Below are 25227 nucleotides of genomic sequence, written 5' to 3' on the forward strand. Positions count from 1 at the left end.
GAGATGTGCGGGGTAAGGGATGGGGATGTGGAGGAAAGGGGCCACTCGGATCTTCTGAGGCTGGGAGGAGCTGTGCCGGGCAGCGCTGGGTCCCCTGTGTCGCCAGGACGACTCTGTGGTCCCCCGCCCCGCCTCCAGGCCCCGTCAGGCACTGCAAGCCCGGCTCAGAAGCCCAGCCCGGGGCTAAGGTCACCACAGCAGGCCGGGCCCCTGCGTTCCGAGCCGGGTGTGGACGCGCTGGTGCTCAGGGATGTCAGGGGTTTTGACCCCTGAAGGCGCAGGAGTCAGGCGCCCGCGGGGGTCCCTGGGGGAGGGGGTCCTGCGCCGTCCCCTCCCACTCCTCGCCTGCAGGTCGGGGAGCCTCTGCCGAGGGAAAGGAGGCTGTTGTGTAAACTGGTGGAGGCGCGCCTGGCCCCTGGGCCCGGCAACCCGAAGAGACACGCCTGAGACCTCCTGTGTTAGAAAATCTGCACTCAGGACTTTGAAGAAGTCCTTGCCCAGTCGTCTTGGGCAATATCAACGACCAGACATAAGAAACTTAGACAGACACCAGACAGGACAATAGACACTAAACAAGACAATAGACACTGGGGTATATAAACAATTATGACAATTTTTATAGACAGACAAGGGGAGGGGGTCCCGTGATGGGATCAGTCAGATGCCCGCCTGGCTGCTCCCCCTGAGGGGACTTAGGCTCCTCTTCGCATTGGCAGACCGGTATAAACCCCCGGCTCAGATGGAGCTATGCCAGATGCTGCCTTAAGCCGTATGAGGTCGCCACGGAACAGTAGGTGAGGGCCCTCTCGAATTCCGTAGCTTTCACGGTGGAGCTACAAACTGGAAATTCAAGCGCAAGCCCTTGAACTCCACATACATGCACTGATTCACACAGAGTTTACAACAGGTTTTTTTTTTTAATTCCCGTTCTAAAACAGAGGTCTCCAGGAGACCTGAAAGAAGAAGAGATAGAGAAAGAGGGAGGGAGGGAGAGAGAGGAGAGAGAGAGAAAGAGAGAGAGCGAGAGAGAGAAGAGAGAGAGAGAGAGACAGACAGCCTAGACTTAACGGAGAGGCTGGCCTGCCAGAAACCAGGACTCAGTCCTCCAGCGTCCTAGAATATGGACAGAGTCACGGGAGGGCCCTCGTCAGGGCTGCTTCCCTCTCAGAGAGACACAGAGGCGCCTAACAGAAAACCAGGACTCCGTCCTCCAGCGTCCTGGAATGCGAGCAGAGTCAAAAAGGGACGGCCTTCATCAGAGCCACTTCCCTCCCAGAGAAACAGAGTCAGATCTGACTTACCTTCCCGGGACTAGAAACTGAGGACTTAGGAGTTGAATTTTTTGTGGGCACACACCGGTGGTCGATCCGTTCCCCTCCGGAAGATAGGGTCTTATGGGGCCCTGGAACGTCTTCAGGTGGCGCCTCCCCTGTAAGTCCGCCGTCTGTCCGGGGGAGCCTGGAACGAGTCGGGCTCTCACCCAGGGGCGAATTTCTCGCTGGGGCCTCCAAATGTTGTAACCAAGCGAGTTATAGAGAAACACCACATTTTGAAACTAATTCAGGAGTCTTTTATTACATGGCGACCGAGAGATGGCTAGAGCTCAAAATTCTCTCGGCCCCGAAGAAGGGGCTAGATTTTCTTTTACACTTTGGTTTAGAGAGGGGACGGGGAGCCTAGCTGTAGCAATCTTACAGAAGTAAAACAGGCAAAAAAAAAAAAAAAAAAAAAAAAAAAAGTTAAAAAGACAAATGGTTACAGGAAAACAAACAGTTCCAGGTGCAGGGGTTTTAAATTCATCACAAGCTGATAGGTGCGGGGGCTCTGGGTGCTATCTGCTGGACACAAATGCAGGGGCTTTAGGGTACCATCACCTGGGCGAATTCCTGGGAATCGCGGACATAGCTTGCCACAGTACCTTATCAGTTAATTGCACTCTTTGATATGCTGAGAGTCAGCTTGCACAAGTCCTTGAGGAAGGGGGTGGGTAAGGAGCCCTTGATGTCTTGCAAAGGAAGGAGCCAAATGGAGTCCATCTCGCTTTCTCAGCTAAGAGAGAGTCAATCAACTTAATACAAGTTACGGTATCACAAGAACATTTGAAATTTACTCTTCAAATGATGTACATTTGAAATGTACAATCATATACTATTGTATTAGGCCATTCTCAAATTACTATAAAGGAATACCTGAGACTGGATAATTTATAAAGAAAACAGGTTTAATTGGCTCATGGTTCTGTAGGCTGTGCAAGCATGGTACCTGGCATCTGCTTGGCTTCTGGGGAGGCCTCAGGAAGCTTTTATTCATGGTGGAAGGCAGAGCACTTAATACTGGTGAAAGCCAGAGAAATAGAGAGGTGGGGGAGGTGCCACACACTTTCAGTCAACCAGATCTCTAGACTCACTATTGTGAGGACAGCATCAATCCGTGAAAGATCCACCCCATGATCCAATCACTTCCCACCAGGCCCCATCTCCAGCACTGGGGATTACAATTCAACCTGAGATTTATATGGGCACAAATATCCAAACTCTATCAACTATTATTAACTATATTCACCATGCTGTGCAATAGATCTCAAAACAAACAAACAAACAAACAAACAAACAAACGTATTCCTCCTGAGGTCTTGTACCCTTTGACCATCATTTTCCCTATTCCCCTCAGCCCTCAGCCTCTGGTAACCACCATTCTACTTTGTTTCTATGGATTCAATTGTTTTAGATTCTACATGCAAGTGGTAACGTGGTATTAGTCTGTGCCTGGCTTATTTCACTTAGCATAATGTTCTCCAGCTCCATCCATGTTGTTGCAAATAACAGAATTTCTTTCTTTTTCAAGGCTGAATAGTATTCCATCATTTATAAATACATTTTCTTTATTTTTTCATCCATTGATGGGGTAGACTCCAACTTGTATGCGGAATGTTAGCTGCATGGGAGTCTGGGAAATAGTTTTTATCTTTGCAGCCTCTGCAGTATGAGGAAGTGTTTGGAATGGATGTTGAAAGTCAGTTCACCATGTCTACACAGTCTATCTTTTTGGACTTTTAGGGACCTAAATCCGCTCCTTAAAATAAGAGACCCCAAATCCCATCAGTCACATAGCTAGCTGATCCACCCTGGGTGATTATCATTCTAGTTCAGTTACAATTCTACCATAACAGCATATAATCTAAACACTAAATTAACAAGTTACCAACAGTAATACATTTCATTATACTAGGGAAAATATGGGAGGGGAAAATGAGTTAATATCTATAAATTAACACAATAGAGCAAGGAAGAAAATATGAAATGCTAATATAGTGCCCGTTTCTCAGCTTTTCATGAGTTAGTTGTTTCTATTTATATATATTTCTTTCTCCACCATCCAGTCCATGATCCTTCTTCCTCAGCCAGTATATGAACTGGATTAAGTTCTTTATCTGGTGGGGTGACCCAAATCACGGAGGTAGACATTCTCTTAATTTCCACAGGGATTATCTCCTATCCTTAGAACACATGTTTTACCAGGGCATTTGGATACCTGCTACTTCTTGCTTGCAAGATTCCAGACATGTAGAACAATGTTCTGGGAGATGTGAGATGATTAAAGTGCCTGCAGATTAGACTGCAACAGAGCTGCAAGGGTGATATAACCCAGATGCAGGACAGTGTAATGTACTGTTGACCCTGACAGGTGAAAGTAATCTGTTTTTGATGTTTTCTGCTATTTGGGCTAGAGAAAAAAGCATATTCCAGGTCAGTACTCATATTCAGTTGCACGACTGTAGGGGCCGGGGCAGGTGTTGATTTGCTTCATAAAGAGATTATATCTAAAATAACAGCTAAAAATCAAGTCCTGCATAGGCCAAACAAGTAAATTAAATGTGGATATGATAGGAGCCATCATTCCTGAAATTTCTGTCTTTGATGCGGACACTAATATCCATCATTCCCTTAGGGATGCACTATCGCTTTTGGTTTATGTTTTTGGTGGGAAAGGGCAATTTCAAGGGTTCCCTTTGCTCTTCTTACCACAACAGCTTTCACTCCATGAGTCACTCAATGTGCAGATTCTACCAGTCGCCGAGTGCGTCTACTACAACTGTGCCTAAAGGAACTGGTAATGAGTACGTGAGATCGATGCAGGCCAGAACTCCTTTTTATCACCTGACCCCCGTATATTAGTTTGCTAGGGCTCCCATAACAAAGTACCATAAACTGGGTGACTTAAGTAACAGAAATTTATTGTCTCACAGTTCAGGAAGCTAGAAGTCCTAGATTTTGGCAGAATTGGTTCCTTCCGCGGGCTGTGGGGGAGGATCTGTTCCTTGCCGCTCCCAGCTTCTGATGGTTTGCTGGCAATCCTTGGTGTCCCTTGGCCTCTGCTGCATCACCCCAGTCTCTGCCTTCATCTTCACATGGTACTTAGCCTATGTGCATGTCTTTGTGTTCAGATTTCCCCTTTTTATATGTACAACAATCGAATTAGGGGGCCACCCTATGCCAATAAGACCTCATCTTAATTATATCTGCAACAACCTCATTTTCCAAATAAGGGCACATTTTGAGGTACTAGGGGCTAGGACTTCAACATATGATTTTTGGTGGAAGGGACACAATTCGACCCATAACACCATGGAAGCCTCTATTCTAACTAGTGGACCACAAAGGCTTTTTAGGTCTCAGCATTTGTGCTGGCTTAGGGCCAGTTTCCAAGTAATCCCTAAAGGCCTGGGCATTTCCATTTCCCTAAGCACACATGCATAGTTACATGGCTTAAGATCCCTTTGGGGAAAACGAGAAGATTTATGATATAGTTATGGTGGTATTGCTGGGTGCTTCCTCCAGAGTACCCTGCACCCCCTTTTTCAAGGGCTTCAGCTCTGAGAATTGTCTGTAAATCTCCATTTTGGTGACTCAAAACAGGCCTCTATTTGCCAGACCTGAAGATTTGTTTTGCGTTCTATAAGCCAAATAGAACCTTGGTAGGTAACCCATGTATTTCATCACTACAGCTCTGTTGCCTTGGTACTACCCCTTGGCCACTGGCACTGCAGGATCCCATCATCTCTACTGATATCAGGGATTCCTTTACAATGGTAACATCTCTTAGCTTCATTTCCAGCCTAGGGAAGGTACACACTACAAACTTTTCAAGATAAGGTGTTTCCCTTGTTTAAAGTACTTTTCAATTCCTTGCTGAAAGAAATAACCTCTTGGCAATTTTGAAGGGCAAAATTAGGAGGTAAGTAGGTCACACATATGATAAATCTACAAATCAATGTTTTTAGTATCATGTTTTTAAGTTATTATTTGAGACAGAGTCTTGCTCTGTCACCCAGGCTGGAGTGCAGTGGCATGATCTCAGCTCACTGCAACCTCTGCCTCCTGGGTTCAAGAGATTCTCATGCCTCAGCCTTCTGAGTAGCTGGGACTACAGATGCACACCACCATGCCCAGCTAGTTTTTGTATTTTTAGTAGAGACAGGGCTTCACCATATTGGCCAGGCTGGTCTGGAACTCCTGGCCTCAAGTGATCCATCCGCCTCGGCCTCCCAATGTTCCGGGATTACAGGTATGAGCCACCATGCCCGGCTGATTTTTTTTTTTTGAGATGGGGTCTAGCTCTGTTGCCCAGGCTGGAGTGCAGTGGCACGATCATAGTTCACTGCAGCCTCAAATCCCTGAGTTCAAGGAATCCTCCCACTTCAGCCTCCTGAGTAGCTGGAACTATACAGGCACACACCACCATGCCCAGCTAATTTTTTAACTTTTTGTAGAGATGGGGTCTCACTATATTGCCCAGGCTAGTTTCAAACTCCTGGCCTCAAGCAGTCCTCCCACCTCAGCCTCCCAGAGTGCTGGGATTACAAGCATCAGCCACAACACCTGGCCTTGATTCTTCTAATTCTACACTAAGGAATTTTTGCCATCTCTGTATAGGCCACTTTTAAGTCCAGGTTTCATCCAACAACCTGTTAAGAGCCATTCTTGGCCGGTCGCAGTGGCTCACGCCTGTAATCCCAGCACTTTGGGAGGCCAAGGTGGGCAGATCACTTGAGGTCGGGAGTTCAAGACCAGCCTGGCCAACATGGTGAAACCCCACCTCTAGTAAAAATACAAAAAGTAGCCAGGTGTGCTGGCATGAGCCTGTAATTCCAGCTACTTGGGAGGCTGAGGTGGGAGGATTGCTTGAACCTGGGAAGCAGAGGTTGCAGTGAGCCGAGATTGCGCCTCTGCACTCCAGCGTAGGCAACAGAGCAAGACTCTGTCTCCAAAAAAAAAAAAATTCTTAGCTGCTAAAGCCAATATGCTGAGTCCAGAACCTCTAGTACCCCCATATTGATAAATTCAATGCAAATGAAAATAAATGTATATTCCTATCTTCCTGGTCCAACATCTTTGGAATATACTCTACACATTTTCCCCTTGTTTCTGCTGATACAAATTAGCAAAGTCTTACAATTCTTCTGTAAGTCTCTCAGATCAGACTTTGGGTTTGCCTTCCAGAAGCATACTGGGATCTGACTCTAGTTAGAGCTGGTAGCAAGGAGGGGTAGGGGGTGGGACACGAGAAGTATTAGTATTCCCCTTTAAGACAACTACCCCAGGGTCTTCAAGCAGCAGAACCAGCCATATCTATAAGGGGAAGAATGGCTGCTTCTGCTGGTTAAAAGAAGTAGAGTTTGTGAGTTGACAGCACTAGGATTTATCCAAATCCACTCAAGGGTCCCCATTGCTCATTTCAGAGCCCCATTTTCACATAAGAGGCCTGGTAAAGCTACGAATTCAACTTATGTTGTATGTAATTCAGTGATCCAGAATCTCCCTTTGATTTTGATGTACATGAGCCTTGCGGCTACAAAAGATAAAATTCTTTTGGGTCTCTCCCATACTATGCCTTGAGCTGCAAATGTCAAACTTTTGAGCTTTTTGTCTTTTTCCTTTAACCCCTCTAGTGTAGTCACCATCATTTGTCCCCATTTCTTACATGATGATCTATCATGGCAGCCCTTTGAGGTGCCAACGTCTTTTCTCCAAAAGACATTTCATTTCAGGTGACCACAGGTGTAAGCAATTTGCCTACCAGTTTATCATTTTCCAATGGTGACTAGATCTACATTTCATTCAAATGCAGCTTAGTCATAACTAATCTAAGAAGCCCATCTTTGAGGGCCTGTTACTAGTAACCACTTTTGGAACCAAATACTATATTAGCCAGGATTCAGTAACTGCAGGAAACAATACTCCTCTACCAATTTTAAGTGGAAAAGGATTCAACACAGGTAAATTAGGTGCTTACAAAAGCACTGGAAAGCCTGGGGAACATGGCCATAGGCTGGGCCTCCAGGCGATTCCCAGACCTGGAATTAGCCTTCCATGTGAGCTGCTACCTCTGCCACCATAGGGGAGATGAGCAATTAGGAGGCCACTACAGGTTGACTACAAGAAAACATATCGCAAACTGCTATCTATGGATCCAGACACCCTTCAACACCCACAAAGCTACTGATGGCTATTAGAATGCAGTTAAAGAGAAACCTAAGGTCTCTACATCTTGCAGGAGCAATAGCCAAAGTAGCTAAAGATAACCCCTGAATCACTCCTCCTTCCACATCTTGTTTGTGCATCTAACTGGCAAAACTTGACCTTAGGTTACATTCAGAACCTTGGTTTCAAGGAAATCTAAGACATGAAGTTTTTAGTTTTCCAGCCTCTGCAGCATACGAAGGTACATTAGGTGAGCATAAATGAGTATTCATTTACCATATCCACAAGCTTCTTCACATTGGCCTGTCCAAGTAGTACTAGTGATCAGACATGCCCCTCCCAGTTTCAACCTTTTTGAAAGCTGGCCGCAAGCACTGCATCTGTCTGGCGCTGAAGATTACCTCCTCCTGGCCCAAAGAAATCTAAAATTTCCTTGTCTTCAGAGTTGTTTGGCTAATCTACACAATCTTGCTCCAGCTGTCTTTGACCTAATCCACTACTCTCCCCACCTTGGTCCACTTTGTTCCAGCCATATAGGCCTCTATACTATGCTTTTTTGGAAACAGACTAAGGATGCTCTACCAAAGGGCCTTTGTAGTTTATTCCTCATGTCTGGTATGTGCTTCCCCTAGATATTCACATAGTTCTCTTCCTTGCTCCATTAAAGTCTCTAATAAAATGGAACCTTATCAAGGAGGACCAACCTGGTCATGTCAAGTAGCACTATCTACCACTCTGTCTTCCCTGTTTTTCTTCACAGATTACTTATCCTCACTCCAGGTTATATATCTGATTGCCTTCCCCCGTTAAGAGTCTAAGTTCCATGGGGACAGGAACTTTGTATTTTAGTCATTGCTACATCTTATACCTGAAATGCGGTAGGTATTTCAGAATGAATGAAGGCTGTATGAAGAGGAAATTAAACTTTCTCCATTTTCTAAGCTATTATTATTATTTTTTTTTTTTTGTGAGACGGAGTCTCGCTCTGTTGCCCAGGCTGGAGTGCAGTGGCGCAATCTCAGCTCACTGCAAGCTTTGCCTCCCGGGTTCACGCCATTCTCCTGCCTCAGCCTCTCGAGTTGCTGGGACTACAGGCGCCCACCACTACGCCCGGCTAATTTTGTGTATTTTTAGTAGAGACGGGGTTTCACCCGTGTTAGCCAGGATGGTCTCGATCTCCCGACCTTGTGAGCCGCCCGCCTCAGCCTCCCAAAGTGCTGGGATTACAGGCATGAGCCACCACGCCCGGCCAAGCTATTGTAACTTTTCTAATGCATTATTTGTGTTCGCCTCTAGGTGGTGATGATGGGCCTTTTCATCTACTAAAGTGTCGCTAAGGATTAGAATAAATTTAAATTTTTCATAGCCTCTGGCCTAGAGGTCTAGGCTTCCTTTCTTATATGATATCTAAAATCTCCTTTAACTCATTTCTTCTTCTTCCTGCAGGAGGAAAAAACATGGGCCTTTACCAAAAACATTTTCAGTATACCATCTCAGTCTTCACAACCCCTTAACTAGGATCATCATCTCCATTTTGGCTAAGTGAAAACAGACTCAGAGTAAACTGCCCAAATCTCACAGCTGTAGTAAGTGGAACCCAGATAAGAAATATAGGTTTAGCCATAAACTACTGCCCCTCCAACAGACTTCTTTGATTTTATCAAAGAAGTGAATTGTTCTCTCGAGGCTTCAAGAGAATTCCAAGTTTTGAGTTGATAATTTGCGTTTCAGAGATCTCCAGGCTGTCTGCCTCTTTTTCCAACAAGTTCTCTTTTTCACACAAGTACACGCCCCCTTCAGGGAACATTCTTCCAGAAATCCAAAGTCCACTAACAGCATTTCCTGTCCTAGGTGCAGGGAAATGTGTGAAGTCTGGCTGCAGTGCCCAAGAGATAAGAATCTTCTAAGCTGGCTGTTGTCCAGACTTGCCATCCTCATTGTAGTAAAACACTGGCCAGGAAGACAAAAGTGCATCTGTGAAAGGAAACAGAAAGTCATCTGGTCTTCAGGGAAAGGAGGATTTCAATTTTTCCTCTGGGCCCAGGACTAAGGTGAGAGAGGTCTGACACTGGAAGCTCTTTAAATGCAATCTGAGGGCCGGGCGAGGTGGCTCATGCCTGTAATCCCAGCACTTTAGGAGGCTGAGGTGGGGGGAATCACTTGAGTCAGGAGTTCTAGACCAGCCTGGCCAAAATGGCAAAACCCCATCTCTACTAAAAATACAAAAATTAGCCGGGTGTGGTGGCATGCACCTGTAATCCCAGCTACTTGGGAGTCTGAGACTTGAGAATCACTTGAACCCGGGAGGCTGAGGTTGCAGTGTGCCAAAATCATGCCACTGCACTCCAGTCTGGGGGACAGAGCCAGACTCCGTCTCTAAATACATAAATAAGATCTGAAAGTTGGGGAAGTTAGGGGCATGAAACTGACTCATACAAAGTAAGTCACTCTAAGATTTGGAATCTGACATCAGGTTTCACGAGTCTTCTAATTTTCTTGCTATACTGTATATAAGCTTTCACTTCTAAGGACATTATTTTATTTTGTCAGACGGAGTCTCACTCTGTCACCCAGGCTGGAGTGCAAAGGCGCGATCTCGGCTCACTGCAACATCCGCCTCCCGAGTTCAAGTGATTCTCCTGCCTCAGCCTCCCGAGTAGCTGGACTACAGGTGTGCGCCACCACGCCCAGCTAATTTTTGTATTTTTAGTAGAGACGGGGTTTCACCATGTTGGCCAGGATGGTCTTGATCTCCTGACCTCGTGATTCACCCGCCTTGGCCTCCCAAAGTGCTGGGATTGCAGGTGTGAACCACTGCGCCCAGCCCATTATTTTATTTTTTATTTTATTTTTGAGATGGAGTCTCCCTCTGCCTCCCAGGCTGCAGTGCAGTGGGTGATGTCAGCTCACTGCAACCAGCACCTCCCAGGTTCAAGCGATTCTCCTGCCTCAGCCTCCCGAGTAGCTGGAATTACAGACACATGCCACCAGGCCTGGCTAACTTCTGTATTTTTAGTAGAAACGGGGGTTTCACCATGTTGGCCAGGCTGGTCTCGAACTCCTGACCTCAGGTGATCCACCTGCCTCAGCCTCCCAAAGTGCTGGGATTACAGGCGTGAGCCACTGTGCCCGGCCAGGACATTATTTTACACAGAGGCAAAACTCCAAGTAGTACAAACTTAGCTCAATTTTGACAAATTTGTAAGATCAGATAAATATGTTCAGAGATTTTGAGGGCATACCCCCTCCTTTCATTACAAATCTCAGATTTTAGTCCCTTTTATTTAAACCAGATTAGCAAAACTGAGAAAGTTTATCAGAACACGGAGTGGTATACCTGAGAACACAGCAAACACCTATGTCATTGCTTTGTGATTATGCGCATCAGTGTATTTCTTCCTCCAATAACAGAATATTCTGTTCTCCAACTTGTAACCATGCAACATTCACTGAGAACTCTTTTTTTTTTGAGACAGGGTCTCTGCCACCCAGTCTGGAGTTGCAGTGATGTCGGCTCCCTGCAACCTCTGCCTCCCCAGGCTCAAGCGCTTCTCCTGCCACAGCCCCCTGAGTAGCTGGGATTACAGGCGTGCGCAACTACCGCCTGGCTAATTTTTGTACTTTTAATAGAGGCGTGGTTTCACCATGTTGGCCAGGTGGGTCTCAAACAGCTGGCCTCAAATGATCCACCTGCCTCGGCCTCCCAAAGTGCTGGGATTACAGGCGTGAGCCACCATGCCTGACCACTGAGAATTCTCTTAAGAGCTACCTGGGACTGCCACTCCTTCTCTCCTCTGAAGCATATGACTACTAGTGACTATAATGCAGAAAAGGGCAAAGTTTTAAGAGTAAATTGCACAGTTGCTTCTAGAGGGCAAACAAAGTTAGTTTTAATCTACTGCTTCCCTATTCAGCTGACTCAGCTAATAATTCTTCAGCCTGACTACAAAGTCCAAAACAAGCCTAGCTTTGCTTCCTGTCATGCTAGGAGTCATAGGTTTATAGATGACTACTGCGGTTGGATTTGAATACAATCCTTCTTCCCTTGGATTAGAAAAATTCAGGTCTAGAGACTGTCAAAGATGGTGCTTTGTTTCAAACACTTGGCTCTGTGGGACTATCCAAGCCAAGGAAAATGAGGTAAGTTGAATTATGACAGAAATCTTTATTAAAATGTGTCTTTCAGTAATATGTTTAGCATTCAATATACACACATACATATGTACACTCTTTGACACACCTCATGGATTGCTGCCATCAGTTTAACCAATAAATTAAAACTAAAAAGAGGGAGGGGAGGGGAGGGGAACTAACGGCAAACTTTTCATGTTTTATCTGGTAAGAAATTGTGAATTTCTCAGAATTTCCCTGGGCAAAAACCTGTGACCAGAGAATCTGTGAAATAAAATACATAAATCTCTACCCCTTGGAAAAAAAAAAAAAAAAATTCCAAAAGATGCAGTTACAAGTGTGCTTCTCAGAACAGGAGCATTCATTCCACTTCATACTCTGGCTTCTCCACCTTCTGGCTTCAAGACAGTTTGTCCCTCGGCTAGGGCAGAGAGGTTCATATGGGCACTTGGGCTCGGTGCACCTTGGGCTCTGGGGGTCGAGGGGCAGGCTGCAGTATGGGAGCGGGGGGAGCCACACTCATCTGAGGTGATGTCTGGCACATCGTCTGACTGTGCATCAGAACTCTCTAGGTCACTGCGGATGCTTTCAGGCTGGGCCAGGCTGATGTCCCAAGGTTTGCTGGCCAGGCAGTCTTTCTGTTCACAGCTTTGGTGTCTGCAGGGGGGATCCTCTTCACTGCCTCCGCCACCACTACCTTCTTCTTCATTCTCTGCCATCTGAGCATGAACATGGAGCGAGTCCTCCGTGCTGCTTCCACTCACCAGCTGATAGTGGCTTGGTTTGGCTTCAATGTCCACTTGGATTTCCATATTGTTGCATTCTCTGTGGAGACAAAATCCACTTTGCTGAGTCATGCATGGATCATGCTAAACCTGTTGGTAAAAGCAGTTCATGGGTTCAGGATTAGGAATTTCAAAAAGATAGGTGAACAGTTAACTAGAGCTCACTTTTAACAAAAATAACATTTTAATCTAACACTCAAATGAGATGGAGGCTGGACGTGGTGGCTCATGCCTATAACCCCAGCGCTTTGGGAGGTCGAGGTGTGAGGACTGCCTGAGTCCAGGAGTTTGAGACCAGCCAGGGCAACAAAGTCAGACCCTGTTTCTAAAATAAAAAAAATTAGCTGGGCATGGAGGCACGTGCCTGTAGTCCCAGCTACTCGGGAGGCTGAGATGGGAAGATCACTTGAACCCAGGAGTTCAAGGCTGCAGTGAGTTATGATTGTGTCACTGCACTCCAGCCTGGTTGACAGAGCAAGACCCTGTCTCTAAAAAAACAAAAATAAAAATAAATGAGATGGAGAAGAGTAATTAGATCCTTTTTGCTGATTTAACTATACATGCACACGTGTGCTCAGATGCACACACACGTGTATCTCAGCCAATCTCTTTAAACATACAGAAAGAGCTTCCAAAATTCAACTAAGGGTCAGAGCCCCATGCTAGCTTACTCAAAATAGAAAAGTAAAAGCTTTTTACTACCATGCCACAAGTAGAAGAAGCCAGAATACCTACTAGTGGGAGTACCACAATCACACCATCCCAGATACACCAGTTTCTCAAAATGAAAGAGAAAGAAGCTATGGGAATCCTATCAAGCAAAGGGCAAGCAGAAACCCTAGACTTGAAGACATCAATGAACATCAATCTAGCTCTTTAAGTTCCATGTAATTATACACTGTTGCAATAGCCAAGAAAGACAAAAAAAAAAAAAAAAAAAAGAAAAAATACATAAAAGGAAGAAAGAAAAGAAATCTCTAAAAATCAAGCGCTAACAAGAAGAATCAAGAGATGCCAAACACTCAAGTACCAAGAACTTGCTCAAATGAATTCACAGGTTACACTATATATCCCAGGAGATGGTACATACAGCCCTAACATGAGGCATTGAACTTCTGAAGACCTAGTACCCAACGAAAAAATGCAACCTCTCCTGGACATCTGACTGTTCACATACCTGTCCTGTGGGTTGTAGGAACTGATTATGGAACCGGCCATAGCACGAGTGCTTGCGTTGTCACTAATTGCACCAAGACTGGCTGTGTCTTTGGGGAAAATTTCCTTTTGGACATCGGCTTGAACTTCTAACCTGTGTAAAGAGGGGACGTTCAAGTTAATATGAGACCTGGGTATTCCAAGACAGTCTGCTTCCTGGCACACATCTCTTCCATTACTCTCTTGCAAATTGTGGTTGTCTGTCTGATCTTCTCCAACTGTCAAACAGCGCAAATAGATGCCCATACATTTTTTCTCTTAAATATCTATTGAAATCGTCCCCTCCTTTCTATCCCCACAGCTACTGCTGAACTTCAGGTTTTCATCATCTCCTGCCTGGATGACTAAAACTGGGCTCCCTCTCCAGTAGCCCTTAAGTCCAAGTCAAACAACCTCTAGAACAGTGCCAGTGTGAATAAAGACCCAATCACTCTAACAATTCTCTAACTCTTGGCTCCCTACTGCCAACAGGCATTAAGGTCTTCCTGATCTGCCAGGAAGCTCTCTGTCCAGTTCTATCACTCCCTATAGATCCGAAATCATAGTCACTCTGAATTCTTTCTTTCTTTAAATACCTATACATTTTATACTTCCATGACTTTGCACATGCTATTCTGTCTCTCTAGAAATTTCCTTTCTCTACCAGACAAACTTATACTCAGTCCTTAACAACAAAGGAACTATCACTTCCCCTCATTATCCCAGCAAACCATTCACTTCTTGCTAAGTACTCCCACAGCACCTGCCTACTTATTTATTATTATTTGTTTTTAGAGGGAGTCTCACTCTGTCACCCAGGCTGGAGTGCAGTGGCACGATCTTGGCTCACTGCAACTTCTGCCTCCCAGGTTCAAGCGATTCTCCTGCCTCAGCCTCCCAAGTAGCTGGGATTATGGGTTCCCACCACCACACCCAGCTAATTTTTGTATTTTTAGTAGAGATGGGGTTTTACCATGTTGGCCAGGCTGGTCTTGAACTCTAAACCTCAGGTGATCACCCACCTAAAAAAGGTGCTGGGATTACAGGCGTGCGCAGGCCCTGCCTACTTATTATTATGCATCTCTCACTTGTCTGTTAACTCCACAAAAGGAGAGACCACAACTCATACACACTTTACCTTCCCTGCCTTGCACATAATAGGAAATCAAACATTTAACAATCAAATTACCTCCAGGGAATGAGACTGAAGGACATACAGGAGCCAACCTCTTCCCTCCTCTTGGAGCAGCAAACTTTCCCAATAGTGTCTCAGAGCCCATAACTATTGCCTTTCTTGGCTCCAACATCACTTTGTTGCACAGTTAAGTATTTCCTTATAATGGGTTTCACAGTCAAACCCATCTGACTCATTCACTTCCTATAAAATAAAGGCTTTCACAGAACTAGAACAGCTGGACTGGCTAAGCTGCAGTTTCAGCAAGTCAGTCTCCAATTATGTCTGTCTGCTTATTTACAGGGGTGTTGGTTTTAAGAAAGCACAGCAGTGAATATGCCAGCATGTGGGGGCGGGATCCCCTGATAAGAGACAACCAGAGTCATGAGATGCACAGACGGGTCAGTAGCAGCCTGCAGCTGCACATTCAAGCAGCTTCCATCCTACTGCCTGAGCCTTTGCTTTGCTGCTCCAGCTTCAGGTGCCCTTCAAAAATGTGCCAAGGCCCAGGGAAATGAGGGAATGCAATGGAAAGTGCACAGTGTCAGAGACCTGGCTTCTAGTTTCAGGTCTGCCACAGAATCACTCTGAGTTGGAAGAGTCTTTCAGAAAGGGCTCCTACTTAGGTGGTTGTCAGATGCTGGTTCATGCAACGGCTGTGCTAGAATTACCTGGGGAGCTTTTGCAAAACACGGATCACCCCCTAGGTGCCACTCCAGGAAATTCTAAGCTACTCATTCTGGGATGGGTCCCTGAAGTCTATTTTTAAGAGGCTCCCAAGTGATTGACAGGCACTCAGGTGGGAGATCCAGTCCACCTGCCATCTGTTGCTTGAATCCTTCTTATAGCCAAATAGCCATCTGGTCTCATTGTAAACATTTCCAGGGATAGGCAGCTCAGTATCTACTAAAGTAGCCTTTTTCCTCTTTGGGCTTTCATGTTGCTTTTCCCTATATTCTCTATACTGAACCAAAATTAGTTTCCCTTTAGCTTCTGCCAAGTCATCTTAATCTACCTTTTGGTATGAGGCATAGAAGTCTAATCCTTTTCACAGTTGAAGGTCCTTTGGATAGCTGAAGGCAACCATCTCCTCTACCTTCCTATCCTGCTTTGTTCTACCTTTACCCCTCCCTAGGCCTTTCTTCTCCGTTGCATTCAACTGCTTCTCAGGCAACATGTTATGCTCCTCTGAAAATATACACTCTGGTCTGCCTAACTAGTGAAATGACCAAGCAAGTCACAATCTTTTTAGTTACAAAGCTTTACATATTTTCAACACAAGTACATAGAATTGATTTTCCTTATCTAGCAAATGGAAATAGAAAGGTAATAAGGATTGCAGTATCACTAAACCAGCTGGGGGCAATGGTTCATGCCTATAATCCTAGCACGTTGGGAGCCAAGTTGGGAGGATGGCTTCAGGCCAGGAGTTTAAGACCAGCCTGGGTAACCGAGCAAGACCCCATCTCTACAAAAAATTTAAAATGTTAGCTGGGTGTGGTGTGTGCACTTGTAGTCCTAGCTACTCAGGAGGCTGAGGTGGTAGGATTGCCTGAGTCCAGGAAGTTGAGGCTGCAGTGAGCCATGATTGTGCCACTGCATTCCAGCCTGGATGACACAGTGAGAAAAAAAACAAAAAAAAATCCCCAAAGCCCACTATCAATAAACCATGATGGGCTGGGTGTGGTGGTTCATGCTTGTAATCCCAGCACTTTGGGAGGCTGAGGCGGGTGGATCACAAGGTCAGGAGCTTGAGACCAGCCTGGCCAACATGAAACCCTGTCTCTACTGAAAATACAAAAATTAGCCAGGCATGGTGGTGCACGCCTGTAGTCCCAGCCTCTTGGGAGGCTGAGGCAGGACAATCACTAGAACCCAGGAGGTGGAGGCTGCAGCGAGCCAAGATTGCACCATTGCACTCCAGCCTGGGCGACAGAGCAAGACTCCGTCTCAAAAAAATAAAATAAAATAAATAAGCCATGATACAGCATAAATGCTACTGAAAGCCAATGACAAGCCTAACGGAGAGCATTTTACGAATTCTATAAAAATGCCTACTCTCCCTTCCTGAAGCAGGCAGCCTCAGGCAGTCAAGGGGGAATCTCAAGTCAGGATTATTCTTTATATAGAGGCAGCTATGGTGCAATGGAAAGAACAATGAACTTTGCATAACTGACGTAACCTTTTTTTCTAAGCTTGTTTCCTATTTGTAAAAGTAAAAAAAAAAAGGCCTGTCGCAGTGACTCATGCCTGTAATCCCAACGGTTTGGGAGGCCAAGGCGGGCGGATCACGAGGTCAGGAGATTGAGACCATCCTAGCTAACATGGTGAAACTCCATCTCTACTAAAAATACAAAAAATTAGCTGGGCGTGGTGGCGGGTGCCTGTAATCCCAGCTACTCAGTAGGCTGAGGCAGGAGAATCGCTTGAACCCAGGAGGCGGAGCTTGCAGTGAGCCGAGATCACGCCATGGCACTCCAGCCTGAGCCACAGAGTGAGACTCTGTCTTTAAAAATAAAAAAGTAAAAACAAAACAAAACAAAACCATTGACAATTAAATCAAAATAAGATGATACGTGGCACAAGCCTGGCACAGAGAAATGGCTCAATGTGTTACTTCTTATAATTCTAACCATTTCTGTCAGAAATTATCTATTTGTTTACCTGCTATATTTTCCCTTGCCACTGGAGAGAATGCCGCCACTCAGCGTGCCCCCTGAGAGGGCTGCAAAGCTGGCCGTTTCGCTGTAAGGACCTTGCATAACACTAAGTCCATCTGTAGGGCTTCCACTAGTGCTCAATACACTAGTCAGGCCTTCAATGCTGCTTTCCCCAATGCTGGGATTCTTGAGGGCTCTCCAGGCATCTGCCACTGGGGATAGAACCAAACATCCAATTCAAGACAGCAGAGCATCAAAACAGTCAGTAGGCATTTTCCTGCAATGACTTTTCAGAGAACTAATGTATTTACTTAATGAACAGGTACTGTGTGCAGTCGCCACATATCAGGTGTTTTAACATATGTTCATATTTAATCCTCCAAATAACTAGGCATTAATAGCCTCAATTTTAGATGAGAAAACTAAAATTTAAAACTAAATGACTTGTCCAAGGCCATGGTAGTTACATGAAACTATAACTCTGATTCCAAGGCCACTATTCTTTCCACTACACTGTTGCTTCCATGTAACCAAACGTGAAGATTTAAAAAATATGTTTGGGTCATGTGCTGATTTTAATAGGAAGCTTCTAGTAGAAAGCTAGAAAAACCGGCCGGGCGCGGTGGCTCACGCCTGTACTTCCAGCACTTTGGGAGGCCGAGGCGGGCGGATCACGAGGTCAGGAGATGGAGACCATCCTGGCTAACACGGTGAAACCCCATCTCTACTAAAAATACAAAAAATTTAGCCGGGCGTGGTGGCGGGTGCCTGTAGTCCCAGCTACTCGGGAGGCTGAGGCAGGAGAATGACGCGAACCCAGGAGCCGGAGCCTGCAGTGAGCCAGGACCATGCCACTGCACTCCAGCCTGGGCAACAGAGCAAGACTCCGTCTCAAAAAAAAAAAAAGAAAAGAAAAAAGGAAGCTAGAAAAACCTTTGGGGTTTTCTACGTTACTTGTGCCCTACGTTACTTACTACGAGTAGAAACCACATTAAAGTAAAAGTCAGAAGACTTGCCCTAGTCTCAGCTCTGTGAAGCTCTTAATAGATAGTAAGATGAAAGCTTAAAGAAATTCCCATTTAGGCCAGATGTGGTGGCTCACACCTGTAATCCCAGCACTTTGGGAGGCCAAGGTGGGCGGATCATGGGGTGAGGAGATCGAGATCTTCCTGGCTAACACGGTGAAACACCAAACCCCGTCTATACTAAAAAAAAAAAATTAGCCAGGCGTGGTGGCACGTTGCTGTAGTCCCAGCTACTCAGGAGGCTGAGGCAGGAGAATCACTTGAACCTGGGAGGCGGAGGTTGCAGTGAACCGAGATCGCGACATCGTACTCCAGCCTGGGTGACAGAGACTCCGTCTCAAAAAAAAAAAAAGAAATTCCCATTTAAATGGGGATAACAGCTCCATCCTCCCTCGTCAGAGAGCTGTTTGTTGTAAAAAGCAAGTGAGATAATTGTGTAAAATACTCTGAAAATTATCAAGTACTGTGCAGATATAAAGATGTTATTATAATCACTACTACTACCAGCATACTTGGAGTTACTTGGATTCCTACTAGTTTGTACCTGCCACACAGAGGCAAGTACCAGGGGAATTAACCTAATAACTTTGGAACAAAGAAATGAAAAGCTAAAAATACTTTACCCCCTACAAAGCTCATTATCCAAAGTAATCCAATGACAATCTCCCTGTAAAATGCGCTGAATTTTACTGATTTTTATCTTGTATATCATAAATTCAAATGGAAATAAACATCCTGCTTTTTACCTGTGATTGGACCATCATCTTCATCAAATTCAATTTTCACTCCTTTTCCGTTGGCTGTGCTAACTCCACAGCCGCCTCCACGACAAAGAGAAATGGGCACAACCCCATAAACATATGCCAGCATAATGGGGACACCAATACCTGGGGGAAGAGAAGGAAACATGTCAGCTGGCTATTAGGTTGCAAGTGCCCTGAATTCTTCTTCCCAGTCTGGGCATGGACAAACCACTTTATAAAGAAAGGAAGACAGAAAGTGGCTATCCCAAAAAGGTGGCCTGGTGTAACAGAATGATGACCAGGCTAGAAATCAGAAAGGTCTGGATTAGATTCTTGGCTCCATTTACTAGCTGTATAACCTTGGACCTATCTTCCCAGGGTTGTCAATAATCAAATGAGAATGCTATGTACTGTGTTTTGCACAGTAAATATATGTTGCTTTCATTTTCCCCTCTTCTAATCACTGCTGAAATGCTAACCCAATCAAGAGCCAATCAAGAATCAAATATTAAATAAGTGACTACTGCTTGGAGTTTAGGATCTCCTCAGGATGTTAATTCCAAAATCTTACTGCTGTGTGAGGTAGAATGGCTTAGCTGTTAAGAGAACAGGATCTGAAGGCAGATTAACTTGATTCATGTCCCAGCTAAGTGACCTTGGGAAAATTACTGCACCTTTCTTTTTTTTTTTTGAGACGGAGTCTCACTCTGTTGCCCAGGCTGGAGTGCAGTGGCACGATCTCGGCTCACTGCAAGCTCCGCCTCCCAGGTTCACGCCATTCTCCTGCCTCAGCCTCCCAAGTAGCTGGGACTACAGGCACCCGCTACCACACCCGGCTGATTTTCTGTATTTTTAGTAGAGATGGGGTTTCACCGTGTTAGCCAGGATGGTCTCGATCTCCTGACCTCGTGATCCGCCCGCCTCGGCCTCCCAAAACACTGGAATTACAGGCGTGAGCCACTGCGCCCAGCCAATTACTGCACCTTTCTATTAAAATTGTGCTTCCTTTTGTAAGGATTGTGAGGATTAAATAAATTAATATATGCAAAAGTCTCAGAACCACTCCTGGCACATGAAGAGCCACATTAAATGTTAGTTACACTATTATTATTCTAAAACAAACTCTTATGCCTCCCAAAGTAATGTGAAGCATTAAACAAATCAAAACAAAAGTAATTTTGTTTTGTGGATTTCATGGCAAGTAGAGAAGGAAGATGAAAGGTGAAAACTAGGGCTTAAAATAAGTTTCTGTAATTCAACCTTTTCTATGTGCCAAATGGAGTTCTAGGCACTAACTTAAGAACAAAAGATTGCACACTCTGATAATTTGGTGTGCTTGAAAAACTTAAAAATAATCATAATCATGGTGCCTAACAGAATTTACTATCAAGGTGGGTTCGCATAAAATGTAGGAGTCTTTGAGAAACATCTGGCCATCTGGCTAAACTGCTATGGTCAGAAAGCTGAGAGAGAAGAGGTGTGGTCCTGACTAGCTTACCAACACTAACTGCAGCAATAACTGGGGATGCAATGACCGACAAAGTCACTCCTCCAGTGATAGCCAAATTCCTCTTGTGTTTGGAGGTTTTCCTTCCCTCATACCTGCTGTGAATCTAAGAATAAAAAAAGAAAATCCAGGTCAGCAGGTTAGGACATCAATCTTTTGCCAGAGAAAAAAAGGACAGGTGAATATTCACTTGTAAGTTATCTATATTAAAACATATCCTCTACCCCAAATAGGCATCTTTATCAAATTTTAACCTAACTCAGACCTGGAAGATATAAAGTAATACAGGCAAAGTTAATCCAAAAAGAGACAAAATAACTCCAGCAGAATGAAGTAAGCATTTTACCTTCTTCTTTTATTTTTTTTTTTGGAGTCTGTCATGCAGGCTGGAGTGCAGTGGTGCGATCTTGGCTCACTGCAACCTCTACGTCCCTGGGCTCAAGCAATCCTCCCACCTCAGCCTCCCTAGTAGCTGGGACTGTAGGCACATGCCACCATACCCAGCTAATTTTTCTATTTTTTTGGGTACAGATGGGTTTTGTCATGTTGCCCAGGCTGGTCTCAAACACCTGGGCTCAACTGATCTACCTGCCTTGGCTTCCCAAAGTGCTAGGCCACGTATTACAAATGTGAACCATCATGCCTGGCCCAGCATTCTACCTTTAAGTCACTGAGACAAGCCAGGCCCAGGATGTTAATAAGAACTTTCAGATCTCATGGGGGTTTATGAAAATCCATTTAAGAAAGTAAGGTTATTTTTATCTAAGAACCAGCTGGTTTTCAGGCAGCTCTGAAACATAGCTCCTTCCCATTTCCCTCAAACCTTTACTAACGAACCTAAAGTTGAAACAAGCACAGAAACCAGCATGTCTTTCTTACCTTCCTTCCAACATAAACAGGAATGCCAATGACCATGGCAGGAATGGCAATGCCAGCAATGAGAGAAATCCCCACTGGAGCACCAATCAACGTGCCCAGCTGCCAAAGAATTTTCTTCTTACGGCTCCATGGCTTCTTGCCCCAGAATGTACAGCCAGAGGGGCTGCAGGGGAAACAGACTGAAGTTAATGTCAACATTACAAATACAGCTAGTATTATCATAGGGCTTGATAACAGCAACAGCCTTCTTTTCAGTAAGGATTAACAGAAGAGTTTATGGGAAATGAATACATTACACAAGGGAGAGCAAAGGACAAGGCCAGACTATTAGAGCTCTGGGCTCTTTAACTTTTTTGGTTGTTGTTGTAAAGACAGGCTTCCAGACTTGAAATTCCTTTTCCATTCTTCTCTGCTGAATTCTGTCTTCCCTAACCCACCAAAACTGATCTAGCTTCCATGACTGACAATACTTGGGATGCTGCATAGCCTTATGCACTTGACATCCCATCCAGACACACTGCACCCTGCACTAATGAACACTCTGATTTGTGTAGTTTTCTTGGCATATGTCCTACCATACCTAATAGATACTGCAAACCATGTTCGTGGGAGAGGATATAAAAAGACCTCATCATAACCTTTCTATCAGTTTGGTATTCTGAGTTTGGCTACTTTTACAGTCAGCCCTTCTGTGCCCAACCATTTTTGCCCATTCTCTTTGTGCTATCTTCTCCACTAGAAGGGATAAACAATTTTGAAAATAGGGATCATGTCTTACTCACCCCTATGTCCCCAATGACTAGCACACAGTAAGTACTCAAATGTTCGACAAATTGGCAATGAAGGTGTTGTGTTTCATTTACACAATGAATGTTTGTTTGTAAATATTAACACATTTTGTTTATTTGTAAATATTAGCAAACATTTTGTTTGTAAATATTAACTCCTCCACAACATTTTAATATTCACTCAATGAGGCTGGGCGCGGTGGCTCGCGCTTGTAATCCCAGAACTTTGGGAGGCCGAGGCAGGCGGACCACCTGAGGTTCGAGTTCGAGACCAGGCTGGCTAACATGGTGAAACCCCGCCTCCACTAAAAATACAAAAATTAGCTGGGCATGGTGGCAGGTGCCTGTAATCCCAGCTACTTAGGAGGCTGAGGCAGGACAATCACTTGAACCTGGGAGGTGGAGGTTGCAGTGAGTCGAGATCGAGCCACTGCACTCCAGCCTGGGCGACAGAGAGAAACTCTGTCTTAAAAAAAAAAAAAAAAAGAATTCACTTAATGAATTCCTTGGGAACTCACTAAATGCAAAAAACTGTAAAAAGGTCACAACTCTAGCCTCAAGATACTTACAGTTTAGTAAGATAAGATAGGTACGTGAAGTGTAAAGTACTGACGATATTTATGACAAAAGATAAAAGAAAGTCAAAGAATGAGGCGGAAAAAGGAGAGGCAACATGGATGAAAGGCATTTAAGTGGCTCTTAAAAGATAAGAACTGAACAAGTTGAGATAAAAGGAGGATACTGGAAGGTAGGCAGAAAGCATTCTAGGCAAAGGAAAGAACATGAACAAGTATGGAGGCAAGACAGCAAAAGGGAAAAAGCAAGTCCAGACTACCTGTAATATGGCAAGCAAAGAAAGGTAGAAACAGAATAGTAGCTGGTGAAAACATGATTAGAGGAGCATGTCAGAAGAAGTTTTCACAGCTTCCTTAAACCTGTAATGAGAGAACGGATGTGTCTTTTTGACATCCTTTTCCCTAAATCAGTAAGAGAATGAGACTACGAAAGGAATGGATGCATTTCCCATCTTACCTGAGGTAATGCAAGTCTGAGATCTCTTTCATACAAAGCCAACAGAATTCACAGCCACACACTGCACAGGTCATGTGATTACAGCTTCCATCATTCATCTTGATAATGTATGCACTGCATCGTGGGCATGGCTTGATGTCATCTGCTATGAGTGGGGGAAGAATGGGTAGAAAAAATACCCCTAGTTAAATCCAGTTTGATTTAATTGTTCCTAGGAGTATATATAAGAAATGAGGCAGCAGTCAAGAACTCTTCACTGAACACTCCAAATTGTACAACCCACTTTACTGGAAGGTTGGCTATGTCTAGACCTCAGGAATTTTCATAAAATGAATCCTGTCTCTTATTGAGCTGCCTATCCCAACAACTGGCATCTTACACAGCACTTGAACCACATTCTAGCAAGGAGATTTCCTTAGGGAGAAAGATGTTTCCAAGAAAAATGAAATTTCTACCAGTCGATAGGCTGGTAGATTTAAAAGAAGAATCCTACAGAAAGAATAGCCTGCAGCCTGGAATTAGCTTTACATTTTTAAAAACTTTAGTTTGGGAAATTTATTTTTCAGGTTCAACATGTATCATTGTGATTTGCTGTTAACATAGCCCACAATCCCTTCCCATGATACTTTCAAATTCAAAACCTAAAAACAACTGGGTATGCTATCTACCATATACTTGGTAATTTTCAGAGCAAGTTATGAACTATCCTAATAAAATGACAATTTAGGAAATTATGCTGTGCCAGGAAAAAGTGAATGGCAAAATCTTTCCTACTAGCCTCTCCCAAATGACATCAGCAAAATAAAAGTACAAAGCAATAAATCCACTGACATTTTAAAATAGGTTTCCTCTGACTCGCCAAGGTTGGAGCTGAATGTGTGACATTCCTCCTTTTAAGGTTAATCATTAATCTATACTAATACTGTTTCCTTTTCTTCAATCTGTACTCTACTTCCAAAGGCAGTGAGGCACTTAAGTCAGCTTGAAGGCAAACAGCACAGGTTTAATACTAATTAAATGTCTTTCTGTTCACAATGAAAGTTTTGAAAAAGCCCCTAGCAAAACAAAATGAACTAATTGCTCTCCAATCTGAGACATATTACTAAGAAAGTAGGAACTACATAATTCAATTTTGTTGCATTTCAATTTTATATAGTTGGATAACCTATAATGGTCAGAGAGGGAAGTGCTATCTTTATTATAATATTGAAAGTATTATCAAATGATATTTTCTGCTCTCTGATCCTTTGGAGTACTTGGGTTATACAATAAGATAATTTCTTTCAGCTATGGGCTCACATCATGAAATACCAAATAAAGAGACAATGAGATAATGCCAACTTATACCTGGTCCAGATTCTTGCCCATAACTGAGACCTGAAGTGTGTTTGGTCCGAACTCGTAAAGTCTGGGCCCTCTGTTGACGGGCCATATCGCATGTCTGATTTGGATGCCATATCTGCTTGCAGTGGTAGCAGAACTCAGTCTGGCAACCTTCCCTCTCACAAGTTAGCTTCGGGCAGCTGGCACAGCCATAGGCAATAACAGCATAACTAGGTAAGGAAACAGTAAGAGATACCAGTAAGGTAAGAATGATCTAACCAAAAGAGACATTATTCATCAGAGTTAACAATGTTTGGCACTACCCCACTATCACATATGATACAGAGAAAAGAATACACATACACACATATACACACACAAGCACATTTGACCAACTGTAAAATATATCCCATGTGAGAAAGTAAACTTTTTTTTTTTGAGACAGTCTTGCTCTGTCACCCAGGCTGGATTGTGGAGTGCAGTGGTGTAATCTCGGCTTACTACA

General features: G+C 44.2%; 1 protein-coding gene across 7 annotated transcripts in view, besides 4 other annotated features; it reads right to left on the bottom strand.

The window, feature by feature from the left end:
• Window positions 210–753: an enhancer, noted in NCBI's record as "H3K4me1 hESC enhancer chr1:33390633-33391176 (GRCh37/hg19 assembly coordinates)". NCBI's record gives its function as "activates a minimal SCP1, AML or CMV promoter by ChIP-STARR-seq in primed H9 embryonic stem cells {active_cell/tissue: H9 hESC(primed)}" and the evidence as "EXISTENCE:reporter gene assay evidence [ECO:0000049][PMID:30033119]".
• RNF19B (ring finger protein 19B) overlaps window positions 4214–25227 on the bottom strand; it is a 35774-nt gene continuing 14760 nt past the window's right edge. Inside the window, exons 2-10 of one of the 7 annotated variants that reach the window (XM_006710356.3) lie at window positions 24747–24952; window positions 23400–23544; window positions 21580–21742; window positions 20692–20806; window positions 19197–19337; window positions 17430–17637; window positions 13575–13706; window positions 11948–12437; window positions 4214–9455 (exon numbers count right to left, since the gene is read on the bottom strand). In XM_006710356.3, coding sequence (XP_006710419.1) covers window positions 11984–12437; window positions 13575–13706; window positions 17430–17637; window positions 19197–19337; window positions 20692–20806; window positions 21580–21742; window positions 23400–23544; window positions 24747–24952 — 1564 coding nt within the window. In that variant the 3' untranslated portion in view covers window positions 4214–9455; window positions 11948–11983. Of the gene's footprint in view, window positions 9456–11626; window positions 12488–13574; window positions 13707–17429; window positions 17638–19196; window positions 19338–20691; window positions 20807–21579; window positions 21743–23399; window positions 23545–24746; window positions 24953–25227 lie in introns of those variants that run through there. The other 6 variants (NM_001300826.2, NM_001127361.3, NM_153341.4 and 3 more) reach the window with 6 other exon arrangements.
• Window positions 9266–9560: a silencer, noted in NCBI's record as "tiled region #2329; K562 Repressive non-DNase unmatched - State 8:EnhW". NCBI's record gives its function as "represses a minimal TATA promoter and a strong SV40 promoter by Sharpr-MPRA in K562 cells {active_cell/tissue: K562}" and the evidence as "EXISTENCE:reporter gene assay evidence [ECO:0000049][PMID:27701403]".
• Window positions 9266–9560: an enhancer, noted in NCBI's record as "tiled region #2329; HepG2 Activating DNase matched - State 5:Enh". NCBI's record gives its function as "activates a minimal TATA promoter and a strong SV40 promoter by Sharpr-MPRA in HepG2 cells {active_cell/tissue: HepG2}" and the evidence as "EXISTENCE:reporter gene assay evidence [ECO:0000049][PMID:27701403]".
• Window positions 22731–23232: an enhancer, noted in NCBI's record as "NANOG hESC enhancer chr1:33413154-33413655 (GRCh37/hg19 assembly coordinates)". NCBI's record gives its function as "activates a minimal SCP1, AML or CMV promoter by ChIP-STARR-seq in primed H9 embryonic stem cells {active_cell/tissue: H9 hESC(primed)}" and the evidence as "EXISTENCE:reporter gene assay evidence [ECO:0000049][PMID:30033119]".

This window comes from Homo sapiens, chromosome 1 (genome assembly GCF_000001405.40).
Source record: "Homo sapiens chromosome 1, GRCh38.p14 Primary Assembly".
NCBI lineage: Eukaryota > Metazoa > Chordata > Mammalia > Primates > Hominidae > Homo > Homo sapiens.